The 17,041-nt window shown below is 54.2% G+C and overlaps 1 protein-coding gene across 51 annotated transcripts in view, besides 2 other annotated features; it reads left to right on the top strand.

Moving 5' to 3' along the window:
- The window catches only part of ABLIM2 (actin binding LIM protein family member 2), a 193,487-nt gene that overhangs the window by 127,886 nt on the left and 48,560 nt on the right, over positions 1–17,041 (top strand). For 23 of the 51 annotated variants that reach the window (NM_001130083.2, XM_047416301.1, XM_047416299.1 and 20 more), the window contains 4 exons: positions 1,152–1,272; positions 3,071–3,169; positions 10,625–10,726; positions 11,257–11,310. In NM_001130083.2, the coding sequence (NP_001123555.1) occupies positions 1,152–1,272; positions 3,071–3,169; positions 10,625–10,726; positions 11,257–11,310 (376 nt within the window). The remainder of the gene's footprint in view (positions 1–1,151; positions 1,273–3,070; positions 3,170–10,624; positions 10,727–11,256; positions 11,311–17,041) is intronic. The other 28 variants (NM_001130086.2, NM_032432.5, NM_001130087.2 and 25 more) reach the window with 4 other exon arrangements.
- Positions 5,425–5,925: an enhancer, noted in NCBI's record as "H3K27ac hESC enhancer chr4:8026730-8027230 (GRCh37/hg19 assembly coordinates)". NCBI's record gives its function as "activates a minimal SCP1, AML or CMV promoter by ChIP-STARR-seq in naive H9 embryonic stem cells {active_cell/tissue: H9 hESC(naive)}" and the evidence as "EXISTENCE:reporter gene assay evidence [ECO:0000049][PMID:30033119]".
- Positions 5,934–6,457: an enhancer, noted in NCBI's record as "H3K4me1 hESC enhancer chr4:8026198-8026721 (GRCh37/hg19 assembly coordinates)". NCBI's record gives its function as "activates a minimal SCP1, AML or CMV promoter by ChIP-STARR-seq in primed H9 embryonic stem cells {active_cell/tissue: H9 hESC(primed)}" and the evidence as "EXISTENCE:reporter gene assay evidence [ECO:0000049][PMID:30033119]".

The raw sequence follows: 17,041 nt of genomic DNA, 5'->3' as shown, positions 1-17,041 counted from the left end.
CTGTTCTGCTGGAAGAACATGGCCCACCTGCAGAGCCAGCAGCAGCTGGGCATCAAACTCTTGGATCCAACGATGTGACGGCCAAACACACAAGGGGCCACTTGCACCGAGCTGCCAAACCCACATGTAGCTGGAAGCCCTGAGTCCAAGCTGAACAAGGAGCCAGGACACCTGTAAGGTGGACAGGGCTGTGCAGAGGACGCCCGGGGTAGAGAGGCAGGGCACTAGCCGGCCCGAGAGAGTGCGCCCCGGGCTGGGGTTAGACAGTCGCCAAAGGGAGCAGGGTGAAGCGCAGGTAGGAACCTAGCATGAGGGCTGGCCTGAGCGCATGGAGGTGGCGCACCAGGCAGGCGTTAGGGACAGCACACCTCGGGGTGGGAGACGTGCTCTGACAGGCCAGGGGAGCCATGGGCCCAGACCGGGAATTCCTTTGCTCATCACTGTGCTGGCCTTGAGGGCAAAACTGCAACCTCCACCCTGCAGCAGGACACTGGGCTGGGCCATGTAATGACCCGGGACAGCATGCCAAGCTGTGGTGGGCCAGGCAGCCTGCTCTCCCCCGTGCCATGGTGCCACGCCACCCCACACCACCTGCCTCCCACTCTGCCTGCTGCAAACAGCTGCTCCTGCTTGGATGAAGTCTGCCATGTCGGTGCTTGTGGGTCTGACTCAACTGGGCTTCCCGGCCTGGGGTGGAGTAACTTTCTACCTCCAAATGTGCCTCCAGGGCCGTTAGAGCCCCCAGTTCACACGTGAGAAACCCCCATAGGGACTGGGGGAGTCTCCGTGGTTCTCACACTGTGTTCTAAGAGCTGGGCGCTGGCGAGGGTCAGGCAGGAGGAGACCTGGAGGATGAAGCTGGAGCCCCCACCGGCAGGAGGGGAAGATGGGGGATCCCCGCCAGTGGGTCCCTGTACCACACCCTGTGGCAAGGATCCAGCAGGCACAGCGGGGAGTGTGTCTGCACCACACCAGCCCCACTCGGCTCTTCAGACCTGCCCTGACAGGTGCAGGAGATTCCCACATGGGGCCATGTTGAGTCATCCACTTGGGTCAGGAGGGCAAACACCAAATGGTGTCGGGGGATGGGTGGACAAGGGGTGGGAAGTGCTCCCGGCTCCAGTGTTCACAAGCTGCATCTTCCCTCCCAGGGGGATCAGGATGACCGGTCCTACAAGCAGTGTCGGACCTCCAGCCCAAGCTCCACTGGGTCGGTTAGCCTCGGGCGCTACACTCCGACCTCACGGTCACCACAGCACTACAGCCGTCCAGGTACTTGGCCCCCTGGTTCCTCTGAGCCCCCAGGATGCTGTCCTTTTCCTTTTTTTTTTTTTTTTTTTTAGTTTTTTTTTTCGGTTATAAGTGGCATTTTTCTTATACAACTGGAAATATGATGGAAATGGGTGGGATTGCCAGCGGGTGGGTGGCTGAGAACCTGTTCATTTAGTGGCATAAAGAAAAGGACCTCCTCATGCCTTGGGGCGAGGTGAGCTGCAGAGGCTGCCCTGCTGGTTAGCGGAGCCCTCCGTGGAGCACACAGCCTAGGGGGCACACGCTGAGCGCTTAGATTCCAGCTAATGATTGGGTGGCAAGAGACGTCAGGAAGATAAGACAGCATATGTGTCAGGAGAGCAGACGTTGGCCGGCTGCAAGCTCATGTGGGTCTCGGAAGATGTGAGCTGGGAAAGCAAAGTCAGTGGTGGAAAAATGAAGCCCATTAACATTTCACCTGTGGCTAGGTTGATCACCCAGTGACAGCTGTCCTCACGGGAGAATGGGTGAGAGGTCCCCGCCAGTCAGGAGAGAGCCCCGAGACAGGTCCTTTCCACACGTGTCACCTTGTCCCCTGCCTGGCGCCCAGCTGTGTATCAATCCCTGTAGCTGTGAAACTCCTCGACCCCCTGAGCGTGTCAAAGCCACAGCAGGGACGCTCCACACGGACACTGCCTTTCGAGGGATTTTTCCAAGCTGCTTCCTTCCTGGCCAGCTGCTGCATGCCTCCATTTATACATCCATGGACTATGGCTCTTATTTTTGCAGCCTTTGTGGAAAAATCAAAACTCATTCATTTGCAAAGTTATTTCCATTGACTCCTTGCAATGTGCCTGGTACATTCTGCTCAATAAATGTTGAGAAAGTGGGTAAAGGAGTGAGTGCATGAGTGAATGAGAGAGTGAATGAGTGAATGAGTGAGTGAGTGCATGAATGACTGAATTAGTGAGTGAAGGAATGCGTGACCAAGTGAATGAATGAGTGAGTGAACAAGTGAATGGGTCAGTGAGTGAATGAGTGATTGAATGAGTGAGCAAGTAAGGGAATGAGTGAGTGAGTGAATGAGTGATTGAATGAGTGAGTGAGCAAGTGAATGAGTGAATTGGTGAGTGAATGAATTAATGAATGAGTCAGCGAGTAAATGAGTGATTGAATGAATGAGCAAATAAGGGAATGAGAGAGTGAGTGAATGAGTGATTGAGTGAGCAAGTAAGTGAGTGAATGAATGAGTGAGTGAGTGAGTGAATGAGTGAATAAATGAGTGAGTGAGTGAGCAGGTGAGCAGGTGAGCTAAGGGCAGTCAACTTTATTGAGCTCCTCGTCCTAAGGGCCCTTTGCTGGCTCAATCCCCATAGCACAAGGACAGCCTGGGCTTGTTGACTGCGCTTGGCCCAGGCTAACCCAAGAGCCAAGCTTGCATCTCGCCGGACGAGTCCGGTGACGATGTCTGGTGGCAGACCACTCCCTGAACTGCTCTCCAGCTGAGTCCTTGATCCCCAGGAGACCCCAAATGCTAAGCGACAGGCCTGGCTAGGGGCCTAACCCCCCCTGGGGAACCCCAGCCCAAGGCTCCTATGCAGCACCCTGGGCCTCTGCCTGGTCCTCTGAGGTCCGGTTTCCTCGCTCCTGGAGGAGAGTGGTCTAAAGCATGTTTGGTGACCACCTTCAGGTGCAAAAAGTTGTGCATTCCTCAAGAGAGGAAGCAACAGTGTTCGTAGCAGAGTGGGGATGAGGAATATGTGTGGCGTTGCACCAGCCAGCCCAGGTTGACTCTGACTTGCTCTCTGTTACCCCGTAGCTGGTACTGTGAGTGTGGGTACCAGTAGCTGCCTCTCCCTGTCCCAACACCCAAGCCCTACATCCGTGTTCAGACATCATTACATCCCCTACTTCCGAGGTAAGGCACGCAGTGATGTGGGCTGTGGGTGCTCATGGGTGTCCACGCCCGGCGTCTGTGTGCTCGCTGTCCATGTCTGCCGCATGGCTTCACCGGAGCCCCTGTTTCATGCCCTGTGCCCCTCTCTGTGTGTGTCTTGTGTGTCTGGCTCCGTGTGTCCATGAGCAAATGTTCCTGGAAGGAAAACTTAGGTACCTTGTTACATAAAGGAACAGAAGGGAGAGAGGGCTTGGAAAGCTACAGGAAGAGGGGACCCGGGTTCCTGCACACCCGCCCACAGGCTTTGTCCTCAGAACCCCTACCCAAGTCACCACCTCTGATTTCATGTGTCAGCCGGGGGGCACAGGTGCTCTCAGGGTTTGTGTTCAGGAGCAGAAGCTACGCTGTACGGAGGGCCCTGACTCTTCCACAGCCCCAGAGCTCCTGGGGCCCAGGGCAGGGTTCACACCCAGTGTGGCTCCAACTCTCGGCTCTTCCAGGAGTGGATGAGCCATCCACATCCCTGCACGGGCACCCACATGCTGGTCACGCAGGGAAACGGCCACGCTCATGTTTTCCTGTATGCTGTGGACTGAAAAATGCATCCCCCACATTCATAGAGCCCTAATTCCTGACGTGACTGTATCTGTAGAGGGGGCCTTTAAAGAGGTGATCAGTTAGATGAGGTCCTCAGGGTGGGCACAGATCCCATAGTACTGACATCTTTATAAGAAGAGAAGAGACGCCAAAGCTCGCTCCCTCTCCACACACACTCAGGTAAAAGGCCACTGCAGACACACACTCAGATAAAAGGCCACTGCAGACACACACACTCAGGTAAAAGGCCACTGCAGACACACACACTCAGGTAAAAGGCCACTGCAGACACACACACTCAGGTAAAAGGCCACTGCAGACACACACACTCAGGTAAAAGGCCACTGCAGACACAGCGATGTCTGCAAGCCAGGAAAAACAGTCTCAGGAGAAGCCACACCCTGCCAGACCTGGCTCAGAGATGTGCAGCCTCCAGCACTGTGAGAGGAAATATGCCTGTTGTTTAAGCCACACAGGCTGTGGTATTTTGTGACACAGCCCAGCTGACTGGTGCACCACAGAAAGACACTCAGAACATTAGAGGAGGCAGCAATGATGTTCTTGCCAATTCCCCAAGCAATGCAATAATTCCCCATCCTGAGCAGCTGCTGAGTGGGAATGTCTCTGGAAAAGCCTCCCAGGCCGCAGGCAGCGAGAAGGTGGGGCAGGCAGCTGGACTCTCCATCACTGGATGGTCACCAAACAGGGTTCATTCAGACCTGCACACCTCTCCGTGTACCTCATCATCATTGCTTTGGGCGGGCCCCGTGGCCTACTGAGAGTTCCTGGCCATTGATGGACATGGCCGTCCTCATTTTTCTGAGGGCCTGTCCCTACAGCTTTGGGATGATCTGACTCCTTTGAGAAGAAGCAAAGTCTTCACCTGGGTGCAATGGCTCATACCTGTAATCCCACTGCTTTGGGAGGCCCAAGCAGGAGAATCACTTGAGGCCAAGAGTTTAAGACCAGCCTGGGAAACCTGGTGAGACCCTTTGTCTGAAAAAAGAAAAACGCCGGGCATGGTGGTGCATGCCTGTAATCCCAACTCCTCGGAAGGCTGAGGCAGGAGGATTGCTTCGGCCAGCAGTTTGAAGCTGCAGTGAGCTACGATTGTGCCACTGCACTCCAGCCTGGACAACAGAGTAAGACCCTGTCTCAGACAACAACAAACAAACAAGCAAAGCCAGAAAGGGCCCCTCCCCAGAACAGAAGCATGGCCAGCAGGGGCTTTGCTGCGTGTGGTCCACGGCAGTCGTGTGGCAGGGGGCGGTCCTGAAACCCAGAGTGAATCAACCATTTGGGTGAGTCACGGCAGGGCACCCAAGGAGATGCCGCTTCTCCTGTTGCTCCATGCCAGGAGGCCCTGGACACCCGGCTCTCCTCCCACCTTCAGCCCTCCTTCTGGTGTGGCTGTCCCAACTGTGAGTCCCTGAGAGGGAAGTGGCCAGAGCCGAGGGCAGGCTCACCCCGCTCCCCAGGCAGCCCCTGTGAGCAGCCTCTGTGGGTCCTAGAGCCAGAGCCAGCCCTGGCGACCCTCCCCTCCTCTGCCCCGTCCTGAGTGTCCACCGTCTAATTCTTACCACTTCAGGGTGAAGAAGGCCCAGGACAGGCCCCCTGGGGAGCAGCCCCCTCCTCAGCTCCCGAGACAGCCAAGGAGAGAGCCCAAGGACTGGCAGCCCTCTCCCCTTCCTTCCACGCCTTGTAGCAGAGGAGGGTGCCCACCTACCCACCACCAGTTTGGAGGCTACCCACCTACCCACCACCCCCCACCACAATGTGGCTCCGAAGCCGTCTATGCCACAGCCCCTCCAAGGGCATCTCCCGGGGCCAGGAGGCACCTTCCCTTTGAGACCTCCCCTGGGTGGGGCCAGGTTTTTGCCTCTTTGATGCCCATCTCTGCCCTGGTTCCCCCGGCCACATTGCCTGCCAGTGCCCTTCGTTCAGAAATCACATGAGGCCAGGCGTGGTGGCTCACCCCTGTAATCCCAGCACTTTGGGAGGCCAAGGTGGGCGGATCACCTGAGGTCAGGAGTTCGAGACCAGCCTGGCCAACATGGTGAAACCACGTCTCTACTAAAAATACAAAAATTAGCCGGGTGTGGTGGCGCACCTGTGGTCCCAGCTATTAGGGAGGCTGAGGCGGGAGGATTGCTTGAATCCAGGAGGCGGAGGTTGCAGTGAGCTGAGACTGAGCCACTGCACTCCATCCAGCCTGGGCAACAGAGCGAGACTACATCTCAAAAAAAGAGAAAAAAGAAATCACAAAAAGCCACCTGGCCACCTCTCTGGTGTCTGGTGTGGGGGAGCCTGGCACCCATGCTCTGCCCCTACTAGACTCCCCTGGCTGTCCGTAACCTTGGGAACACCCAGCCTCTTTCCAGAATGTACTCCTGAGGGAACTGAGGCTCAGAAGAGAAGCCACTGGCCAAGATCCCAAAGCTCCTTCTGGCAGAGCCCAAGGTCAGGCTTCTACCCGGGGTCCCGTTCACAAATTGTGTTCACCCTCAGGTCCTGGGTCGACCTCGGAGGCCACACGAAGGTGCCTGTCCTCCTCTGCAGCCATGGGCTCCAGTGTGTCCCAGCCTAGGACCTCTTGGTGGCAGCCCCCAGGGGTCAGCTGGACACCAGGCAGCGTCGCCTGCCCTCTGGGAAAGCCCTTCCTGTTTGCTCCCCGGGCTCCTCTGGCGTCTCTGGCCCCTCTCAGTGGACATTTCCCTCCGGACGGCACTGTACGGGGGCGGCTGCCCGAGGCAAGGCCTGGCCCCACCCCCCACCGAATGCTGGCAGGGCCTCACCCCCGGCACACCTTCCCACCAAGACCCAGCTTCCAGAGTGGTGCTGGCCACAGCCATGGGCACTTTTGTGTGAATTTCAGTTTGGCGTGTCCCCTGTGGAGGAGCCGACAGCGGGGGCAGGAAGTGCAGGCTGGGAGGGGAGTCGGTGCTGCTGAAGCCTCTGGCCAGGCAGCCTCCATGTGCTGAGCGGTGGGCCCACTCTGAACCCCTGGCCTGAGAAGGAAGGAGGGAGGGGCCCTGGGATGGAGCCTCAGGTCCAGGCCCGCACCCTCCACTGCCCAGACCCCGGCAGCGCCTCTTCATCTTGCTGAGCGGCCATTCCTTCAGCTGCAAAAGGTCCTCATAACTGAAGCATCGTCCTCAGGGTGATTGTGGTTGAGGACCCAGGATGTGGCTGTGCATTGCAGCATGGGCATCATCCTACCTGGCCTGCCCGTGGCCACCAGCTGGCCTCTCTGCGGTGTCACCTGGAGGAGGCTCCACAGGAGCCAGCTGAGCCAGCACCAGGCACACACTGGGCCACTGGGAGCACCACGATGAAGGATGTGTCATTGGATTGTAAACTAGAGTATAATAGCAAGAGCCGTCAGTCCACAAGGATCTACATAAATGTTGAGTAAACAAATAAATGGAGAGAAAGCGAGATCTCCCACACAGAGGAATTCCAAATAACGGGAGTAGATGCCTCGTCCTCCAGGAGGGGGTCGTAACTCCCACTCCTGACATGTGGACAAGTGTGGGCTACACAGAGTGGCTCCTTCCCGAGAGCGCCATGTGGGAGGGGAGAGAAGGAGCAAGTCCACCGTGGAGCAGGCCACCATGGCTGACGAGCATGACCCGGTCAGCAAGGCCGCCACGGCCAGTGATCCGCTCTGCTGACAGCAGGTGCCCTTGATAGGATGTGGTGAGGACACTTCACCTCATGGGCTTCCTTCTCAACCCCATAAGCCCAGTATCGCCATGAGAAAACATCAGGCAAAAACCCTCAGCAGCCCTCCTCAAAACTGCCAGAGTCCTCAGACACAAGGAACGTCTGCAAAAGGTCGCAGCCGAGAGGAGCCTTGGGAGACGTGCCGACAGAACGTCATGTTTCCTGGGTGGGATCCTGGAGCGGAAGAACATCAGGTGACACCCGGGGAAACCCGAATCCCGTGCGGCGTGCAGGTGGCACCAATCTGTGGGCACCCTAGTGATGGGAGAGGGGACGGCAGGGACGCGGGCCGGGAGGGTGCGGGAGCCCCCTGGACTACCTGAAGCTGTTCCTAATGAAACATTTACTGAAATTTTTAAAAATGGAAGAGGAGAGGAGGGGGAGGAGGAAGAGGAAAAAGTAGAGAAGAAGGAGGAGGAGGAGGAGAAAGAGGAAAAAGTGAAGGAGGAAGAGGAGGAGGAGAAAGGAAAAAGAGGAAGAGGAGGCAGAGGAGGAAGAGGAAAAAGAAGAGGAGGAGGAGGAGGAAGAGGAAAAAGTGGAGGAGGAAGAAGAGGAGAAGGAAGACTTTTCGAAAGGGCTGAAGCTGCTCCTCTCCTAACAGGCAGCATCCCAGGTTAAAGGATGCTGAAGCATCCCCGTCTGTAGCATATCAGAAGCCCCCTGGGATGTGAGCCTAGCAGCACAGTGCTCCAGGTGGGAGCTGGCGATGCATTTTGTTCCAACGAAGCCTCACAGGCAGCAGGCAGGCATGAGTGCAGAGGAGGGAGAGGTCCTCAGAGACCAAGTCCTACCAGAAGGCTGAGCAGAGGAGGCAGAGCCTGAACCTGGACCCAGGAAGGGTCCGGACAGGTGGGAAGCCCTGGAGAGGACACTCGTCAAGGGGCGGGGTGCTGGGAGGGAGGGACCGAGGTGGCAGGACTCGGGCTGGTGTTAGAGGGCCCTGGGGGGCCAGAATGAGGTGGGCCAACATGGCTGTGTCCCCAGCTTCCCTGCGGCCTCAGGCCCCTCCAAGTATCTGATGAAAGCTGATGAGTCTCCGGACCCTCCTCAAATAGACGTGCACATGTGTCCACAGACTCTGGTTTGAAACTTCAGGGGATGCTGCCCTGTGGCTGGGAACTGGGGAGGGACAGGTACACTGTGATGTGTTAGATCCTCGGCCCACTGAGTGGGGGCTGAGGCAGATCAGGGGCCATGATTCCAGATAGGAAGAAACCAGCCCTTCCTGGCCTCCCAGGTCCACGAGCTGTGCCAAGAGCACACACAGCTTAGAGATGGTGCCTGAAGCAAACCGTCTTCCTCTGTTCAGAGTTCGTGTGGGTGCAGTTTTTAAAACCTGCCCTGTTTTGCTGCCAGTGGGGATGGGTCCAGCACAGCCGTAGTCGGTAGGAGGGATCCGCGGTGTCCTTTCCGGGCACGTGAGTCCAGTCTCCCTGCTGTGAGGCCCCTGCTGCCACCAGGAGGTGCAGGAGTCCACCGTGGAGCATCCTGACGAGCGTGACCTGACCAGCAAGGGTGCCACGGCCAGCAAGGGCACCTGTAGAGCCAACTGAGGCTCTAGAAGGTTCCATGCTGTTCTGGAGGGAGGTTGCTAAGGGAAGGGCAGTTATCTGACGCTCCATCAGCATTGACAGGCAAAATCAGCACCCATGCCCAAGCACGAGAAAATGCTCAAAGTTAGAGCCTGCAGTCCTTTCTACGGCATCAGCCTGGCTGGGGCCACCCTGCTCCTAGGTGACCTCCCGCTGCATGCAGCCCACCACCAGGCAAGAGCCCCCTCTGGGCCAGTGTCTGTCGAGCCCTCCTCACGAGTCCACTGTGGGGTCCCTGGCCAGTCCACCTTCAGGCCCAGCACATCACTCACCCACCGCAGAAGTTCTATTTCTGTTTCATTTCGATGTCACCGCAGGGTCCTGCTGCTCTGAAAGGCTGTGCAGCTTGAGGGAACGTTCTCAGGTGAAGAGCGCCTTACCCCTTGCAGCCCATTGCCTAGTGCTGAGGGGGCTTCCTGGGGCTGGCAGGTGGGAGGAACGGGGCCTTGGGAGTGTCTTCTGCAGGGAGCGTACACCTTCTCTCATCACAAGCATTCAATACCCTGCATCTGTCTGTCACCTCATTCCCCAAACAGGTGTGGGGGGAGGGGCGTCACCCAGGTCACCTCGGCCCTCTGGATGCGTGACTTGATAATCCAACCTTGTTCGCAAAACAGAATTATAGTTCCAGGTGAGCTCAGCAATTGAAGCAGGGTCAGAGGATGCTTTCCATTTAATTTGCCAAAAAGCAGTTGTATTTAAGAATGTGGCCAGGGTGCGGTGGCTCATGCCTGTAATCCCAGCACCTTGGGAGGTAGAGGTGGGCAGATTGCTTGAGCCCAGGAGTTCAAGACCAGCCAGGGCAACGTGGCAAAACCCCATCTTTACAAAATTAAAAAAATTAGCCAGGCGTGGTAGTGCACACCTGTGGTCCCAGCAACTTGGGAGGCCGAGGTGGGAGGATGGCTTGAGCCCAGAAGGTGGAGTCTGCACCCTGCAGAGCCGTGATTGTGCCACTGCATTCCAGCCTGGGTGACAGAGTGAGACACTGTCCCAAAAAAAAAAAAAAAAAAAAAAAGAATGTGGTAATGGATGGATACTACTCTTTTCTTATCTTCTGCAGCTGGCAAAATTTTACTCAATGGCTTTTAAAGGACAATTTTGATCATTTTAGTGCTTTAATCCTATTCTGAGCAGCTAATTTTTAGATTCTCAAGGAAAACAGCATGTTTATATACAAGGATAATTAGGAAGAGGGGCCTTTGTTTTGGCGAATTTGCAGTTGGTTGGATTCAAACACCAGCCAGGATGCAGAGGCGCAGATGGAGTGAGCCCCCTAAGGTGTTCTTAGTTCACCGCCCAGCCCTCTGCCCTCAGCAATGTCGCTCCTCTGCCTTGGGACTCTGGACAGACTTCAACTCAGGGTTGGATTAGCAAGTCCTTGGACACAGTCTGGGAACGTGGATGAGGCCCACACTCCTTCCCCTGGGCAGGGGATCTGGGCTGCTCCACCAGACAGGAGAGATGGGGCTCGCTGCAAATAAGCTTTTCATGCTTGAAATATTCTACTTTGCTTTCCCGTTTCCCCTTCTATCTGCTGCCTTTGCCCTTCCGTCTGGAGGCAGTGAAAGTGGCCGGAGCACCCCCAGCCTCTCCGTGCTCTCTGACAGCAAGCCGCCCCCCTCCACCTACCAGCAGGCACCTCGCCACTTCCACGTCCCAGGTAGGCTCCGGGACACGCTGGCTGGGCTCCTTACACTGAAACTGTCCACACCGAAACTGGCCACACCCAAACTGTCAGCTTGCCTTGACTCAGCAGGCGCCAGACGACACTCCAGGCTCCTCCACTGCTCCCCAGGCACTGAGATTTCTTTAAAACCATCAGACGGGTTTTCACAACCCCAAACCGATGTGTGTTTGAGTTTCTTCCAAATTCCCACAAACGGCAGGGAGATACACCTGTCCTCCTGGGAATGGGGTGAAGGAAAAGGGCTGTCTGAGCTGGCTACACTTCCCGGGGGACCACAAGGTTCCTGGCTGCTGCCCCATCTCCTGCAGATGAGGGTGGCATCTGGAGTCAGGGAGGCTTGATCTGGGGCCTGGGTGTCTGTCGCTCGCTGGGTGCCAGTTCCTGCCTGATGATTCTAAATCTGGGTGAGTGCTTGTTGCTTACAAAAAGCTGTAGAACAGAAACCATCACAACTTGCTGCTTACCCTCCTGTTCTCTCCTTTTTTTTCTTTCTTCTTCCCCAGACACTGGCGTAAAAGATAACATCTATAGGAAACCCCCTATCTACAGACAGCATGGTACGGTTGGATTCCTCCCGCTGCTGTGGTTTGCCCCGCATGCCTGTCAATACCCATCTGCTTCTGAATGCATCCTTTTGTTGTGTTCTGATAAATGCAGTGAAGGCACCACCAAGGCCCTTAGCAGTCTGACTATTAAATGCAAATTCACTAGCAGCCTCCCGAGAGTCCTGTTCTGATAAATTACGATGAAGGGTATGTCTGAGTAAGGAACTTCTGTGCGTTACGACGCCGAGGCTAATGCACATCAGCCAGGGCTTGGGATGGGGGTTTATAGCCAAGAGCCTGGTGGTGGCGCCTTCAATTATGCAGCCAGAGAGACTTTAGCCAAGATGGTGAGGGACAGAGGCTCCTAGAACCACAATCTGATCCAGGCCCGATCTTTGGAATATAGAACAAACTTGAATCGGTCGTTTATTCCTCAGGGAGACTTTAGTCTTGAGTTTTGAGAATTTCTGATGATGGGATGGGTGACCTTGCCTTCCGTTACGGAGATTTCTTGCATAAGCAAATAGGAGCTGACGCCCAGCTCTGCTCCACGTGAACCTGCCTGGGAGGTGCGCAGGGAGCAGCTTGCGTGGGCCATGGAGCAGGAATCGGGGCCACATGGTCTCCCCTCTCTTTCCTCCTGGGATTTCTGGGTGATTGACAGCAGGTTGCTTCACCATCCTGAGCCTCGGTTTACTCATCTGCAAAACAGGACCGATCCCCTCCACCCCGCCCTTTCCACAGGCTGACCGTGGGAACTTCATGGGATATCGAATAGGGAAGTGCATTCTAAACTGTAAAGTGCTGTGCACATGATGGGAATTGTATCAAGTCACTAGCGATGGGAAAAGGCATTTCCATATTAAACGTTCTTGTCCAGATGTACCTAAAGCAAATAGCCACATCCCACATTGACAACTGGATGGACACTTTTAGATGGAATCTCATAAAAAGTGTGTTTCCTGTGACTTGCTGACAAATCAGTGATCAGGTTATACAAACTTTTAAAATACTTTCTCCATCATGGCAATAGGTCCTGTACTTTGTGCATTTTTTTCCTCTTTCCAAGAAGGAAAAAAGTGAATGAAATGTCTTGAGTTTCCAGAAATGATGGCTTCTACCATTGCCTTTCCACCAGAGAAGCGTAGAGCATGAACCTCCAAGAGGGATCAGAGCGGGATGGGCTAGATAGACTCTAGGGCCCTTAGAAATTGTCCAGACCAGTTCCCTTGGGTTACAAGTGGGGAAACTGAGGCCTGGCCAAAAGAAGGAGCAGCCACAGTAAGTGACTGGCTTTCCATCATGGCACCCAGCCTGAACAGCCTGCCTGGAGTGCTGTGTATTCTGTGCTGGTGGGGCTACAAGATTGGGATTGACTACCTTGGCCTTTTATTAACCCCCCATTTTGTCTCAGATTGGTGCCTTAAAATGTGTGATTAACATGTGCAGGACAGGAGGGGGTCTGCCCCTTAGAAAGGGGAAGAGAGCAAACCAGGTTATGAAATTGTTCATTGTCATCCAACAGACCCAGATCTAAGACAAAGAGTTTCGACCTCAGTCCTTTACCTGAACCATCCAGTGGAGAGATTAGATTTTACTGTCTCCAGTGATCGTCTTTGTGCTTTTTTTTTTTTTTTTGAGACGGAGTCTCGCTCTGTCACCAGGCTGGAGTGCAGTGGTGCGATCTTGGCTTACTGCAACCTCCGCCTCTTGGCTTCAAGCAATTCTCCTGCCTCAGCTTCCCAAGTACCTGGGACTACAGGAGCAAACCATCGTGCCAGCTAATTTTTTTGTATTTTTAGTAAAGGTGGGGTTTCACCATGTTGGCCAGGATGATCTCAATCTTTTGACCTTGTGATCCACCCGCTTCAGCCTCCCAAAGTGCTAGGATTATAGGGGTGAGCCGCTGCACCTGGCCATCTTTGTGTATTTTTAAAAATCTGGCTATATATGATTCTCCTATGCAAAGGCAAGTTAATTCCTGTTTGATTAAACCCTAAGCAAGGACCAAAATTCTTTTATCATTCCAAAATTTTGCTGTAAGCCGGGTGTGGTGGCTCACACCTGTAATCCTAGCGCTTTGGGAAGCACAGGCGGGCCGATTGCCTGAGCTCAGGAGTTCGAGACCAGCCTGGGCAACACAGTGAAACCCCATCTCTACTAAAATACAAAAAAAATAGCCAGGTGTGGCAATGTGCACCTGTAGTCCCAGCTACTCGGGAGGCTGAGGCAGGAGAATGGCTTGAACCCAGGAGGCGGAAGTTGCAGTGAGCCGGGATTGCGCCACTGCCTGGGTGACAGAGTGAGACTCTCTCTGAAAAAAAAAAATAATAATAATAATAATAATAAATAGGGAATTAGGAACACAAGACAGGCAAGAATAGAGCACCTCCCTGAACAGTCAGGAATGGTCATGAAGCAGGGCTAGTTGTATGAGGGCCTGGGAGGAGGCGGCGCAGGAGGCCTCGCACCCACCAGCATGTCATCTACTCAAGGGCTGAACGTTGAGGAAGTTTAACAGGTCAGGAATAAGTGTGGACATTTTTGTGTTTCCACACACCATCTAGGGTCACTCATGGTATTAAACCCAGTTACTTTTAGGAGTGTTGACCTAAAAAACCGGAGAGAAGTATCTCCAAATATGTTGAAAGTACTGAGGAATTAGAAAAGAGGATTCTAATCCGAGATGCATGGCTGTGGCAAGCCATATATGCACCCGAAGAGGAGAGGGTAAAGGGAAGCTCTTCTTAGCAAAAGCGTTTCACATAAGCTGCCTAGAAACAGAGTTCATCGGCGGCAGAGGCTCGAGGCTGGAGCTGGCGTCCGTTCATTGGTAGAGACGCCAACACTGGGCAGGTGTTCTGTGGAGAGCATCTTATCTTGGTTTCTGCGGTCCTTGAGAAGGAATTTCTGGTGAGGTTACTGTGGAAAGTCCTCGAGACAGTCTTTATCTCCAGCACGCAGGCAGGAGCTGTCCTGCCTCATGCTTTCCTGGCTCTAGTTTGTCTGGTCTGAGAAAAAGTGATTTCTTCCTGGGACCTGCAACCCTCCCAGGAGGCAGACCCAGTGCAAACCACAGCCCCTGGCTTCCAGCTACATCGTGGGGAGCTTCCTTTCTCAGAGTCTGTCTCCCCTGGAAAATGGGACTCAAGGCCATATAACCCGTGGGGCTTTGAGGCTGTTTCAGGGAGATGACACACGACACTTGATATCGGGCAGGGACCTTCTGTGGATCGATTCCCTCAGGGGAGGGAAGCTGTGCGCAGTTTAAAATGAATTCATGACCGGCCAGGCACAGTGGCTCATGCCTGTAATCCCAGCACTTTGGGAGGCCAAGGCAGGTGGATCACGTGAGGTCAGGAGTTTGAGACCAGCCTGGCCAACATGGCAAAACCCCATCTCTACTAAAAATACCAAAATTAACCTGGCATGGTGGTGCATGCCTGTAATCCCAGCTACTTGGGAGGTGAGGCAGGAGAATCGCTTGAACCCGGGAGGCAGAGGTTGCAGTGAGCCGAGATCGCACCACTGCACTCCAGCCTGGGCGACAGAGTGAGACTCCATCTCAAAAAAAAAAAAAAAAAAATACAACAACAAAAAAGAAATCACCTCTTATTACAGACAGGAATAGTAGCTTACGATCGTCTCATATCTGATTTGAACTTATAAAATGAGGAAGTGTGGTGATTTTATCATCGATTTGCTATATAAAATTTAGGAAAATATGCATAAAAGATGAAAAACTCAAAAATAAAAATAAATAAATAAAAGGATTTCATGAGGGAAAAATGATGGCTCCCCAACATTTCCCAGTAAGTTCGACTCTCCAGATGCAGGGACAGTCCTCATAGTTCACCAGATTTGCTGTTTCATTTCTAAGCAAACATGAGCCACCAGATGGCAATGCAGCTCTCTCCTCACCCCCCAACACACACCTCCCACCACTTGTCCGGCAGGTGGGGGCTGTCACTCCTGCCCACCCAAAGCCAACAGTGGAAGTGACCCCACGGGACACACGTTGTTCCCTGTGTCTTTGTGCCCTGGTTTAAAGCAGGAATTAATCACTCCTTGCTGTGTCTCTGGGATTCCAGATTCTAGTGGGGTTGAGTTTCATTTTGGTTTTGGGTCCTTTTTGACCTCAAAGGGTGGAGTCTCATTTTGGTTTGGGGACCGGCGGGATGGGGAGGAACGGCAGGCTGTGTCCAGAGTGCGGATTGCACTGGGAAGCCCCCACTGAGGCTCCCCAGGGGAGCCGGGGAGTAGGAACTCAGCCTCTCCCTAGAGGGTTCCTCATGGCCGACGCATTTTGGGGCTCTGAAGGAACTGTCTGTGTGATACAAAAGACACGCTAACCTCTCCTTCTGCAGTGCAGTGAATGCAGAGAGGCTGTCCTAGAAAGGTGGAAGACAAGCCGGGCACGGTGGCTCACACCTGTAATCCCAGCACTTTGGGAGGCTGAGGTGAATGGATCACCTGAGGTCAAGCATTCGAGACCAGCCTGGCCAACATGGTGAAACCCCGTCTCCACTAACAATATAAAAATTAGCCAAGTGTGGTGGCCGGCGCCTGTAATCCCAGCTACTCGGGAGGCTGAAGTACGAGAATTGCTTGAACCTGGGAGGCGGAGGTTGCAGTGAGCCGAGTTAGTGCCATTGCACTCCAACCTGGGTGACAGAACGAGACTCTGTCAAAAAAAAAAAAAAAAGAAAGAAAGGAAGGAAGGAAGAAAAGTGGAAGAGAGGGAGGCCGGAAGGAGAGAGGGAGGGAGGCAAAGGCGCTGGCTGGGGCCGAGACTGCAGGCCCACTTTCCTTGTCCTCTGCAGTCTTTTTCCATCCTGACAACCAGGGAGCAGAGGTTCTTATTCTGACTCAAGAGAGGAGAAACCCCAGCATGGAGGGATTTAAGTGACTTTTTCATTAATTTGTCCAAGGGATGTTTTTCAAGCACCCACCCCACTATGTGCTAGGCTTGTCCCAGTGCTGGGGATACATGGGTGACCCTGCATTCCCCCGATCCTGTGGAGCTGAGATTCTAGCGGATTTGCCCACGGCCAGACAGGTGAGAGGCTCAGCAAGGTTTCTAGTTTCCAACGCCCATGCTGTGGGCCCTGCCCACATACTCACTCACATACACACACACACACATTCTCTCCCTCCCTCTGCCTCTCTCTCTTCCTCTCAATGTCATTCCAATTCAATGTGAATTGTAGAGATAGAGATTATTCTGAGAAGAACAGAAAAAAATCCTGTTGATGGGTCAACTCCTTAGAGGCTAAGTCTGGAAGACGTAGGAGGGGACAAATCCTCAAAGCCTCCTGCACAGCTATTCGAAGTCCCAGGAGTGGAGAGGGCGTCTCTCTCTGGCCTAAGGGATGAAACCCCGGGCACCTTCCCCAGTTGCTATCAGCTCCTTCCCTTGTCAGAGAGAGCACCTGCCGGGGTGCCGGTCCTGGCTCCTGGCTGCCAGAGTCCCAGACTTGCCTCAGGTTCTTGCAGTCTCAGGAATGATTCTGCACTGGAGGCAGAGAAAACTGGTGAGGAGCATGGCATAGACCACTTGCTGGCTGCAGAGCCTTGGCTGGCACCCCTGGCACAGTGGTGGAACAGCCCCCACACCTCTGCTGGCCCCCTGGACATGGGCAAGAGATCCTTGGAGGTTAGAGCTGTCGGTGTGTTGATGCCGCCAAAGAGGGAGCTGGTAGGGCCCTCTCTTGGAAACACGGGGCCCCTGTGCCATGTCCAT

This window comes from Homo sapiens, chromosome 4 (genome assembly GCF_000001405.40).
Source record: "Homo sapiens chromosome 4, GRCh38.p14 Primary Assembly".
Classification (NCBI taxonomy): Eukaryota; Metazoa; Chordata; class Mammalia; order Primates; family Hominidae; genus Homo; species Homo sapiens.
This window is presented reverse-complemented; position numbering and strand designations above follow the sequence as displayed.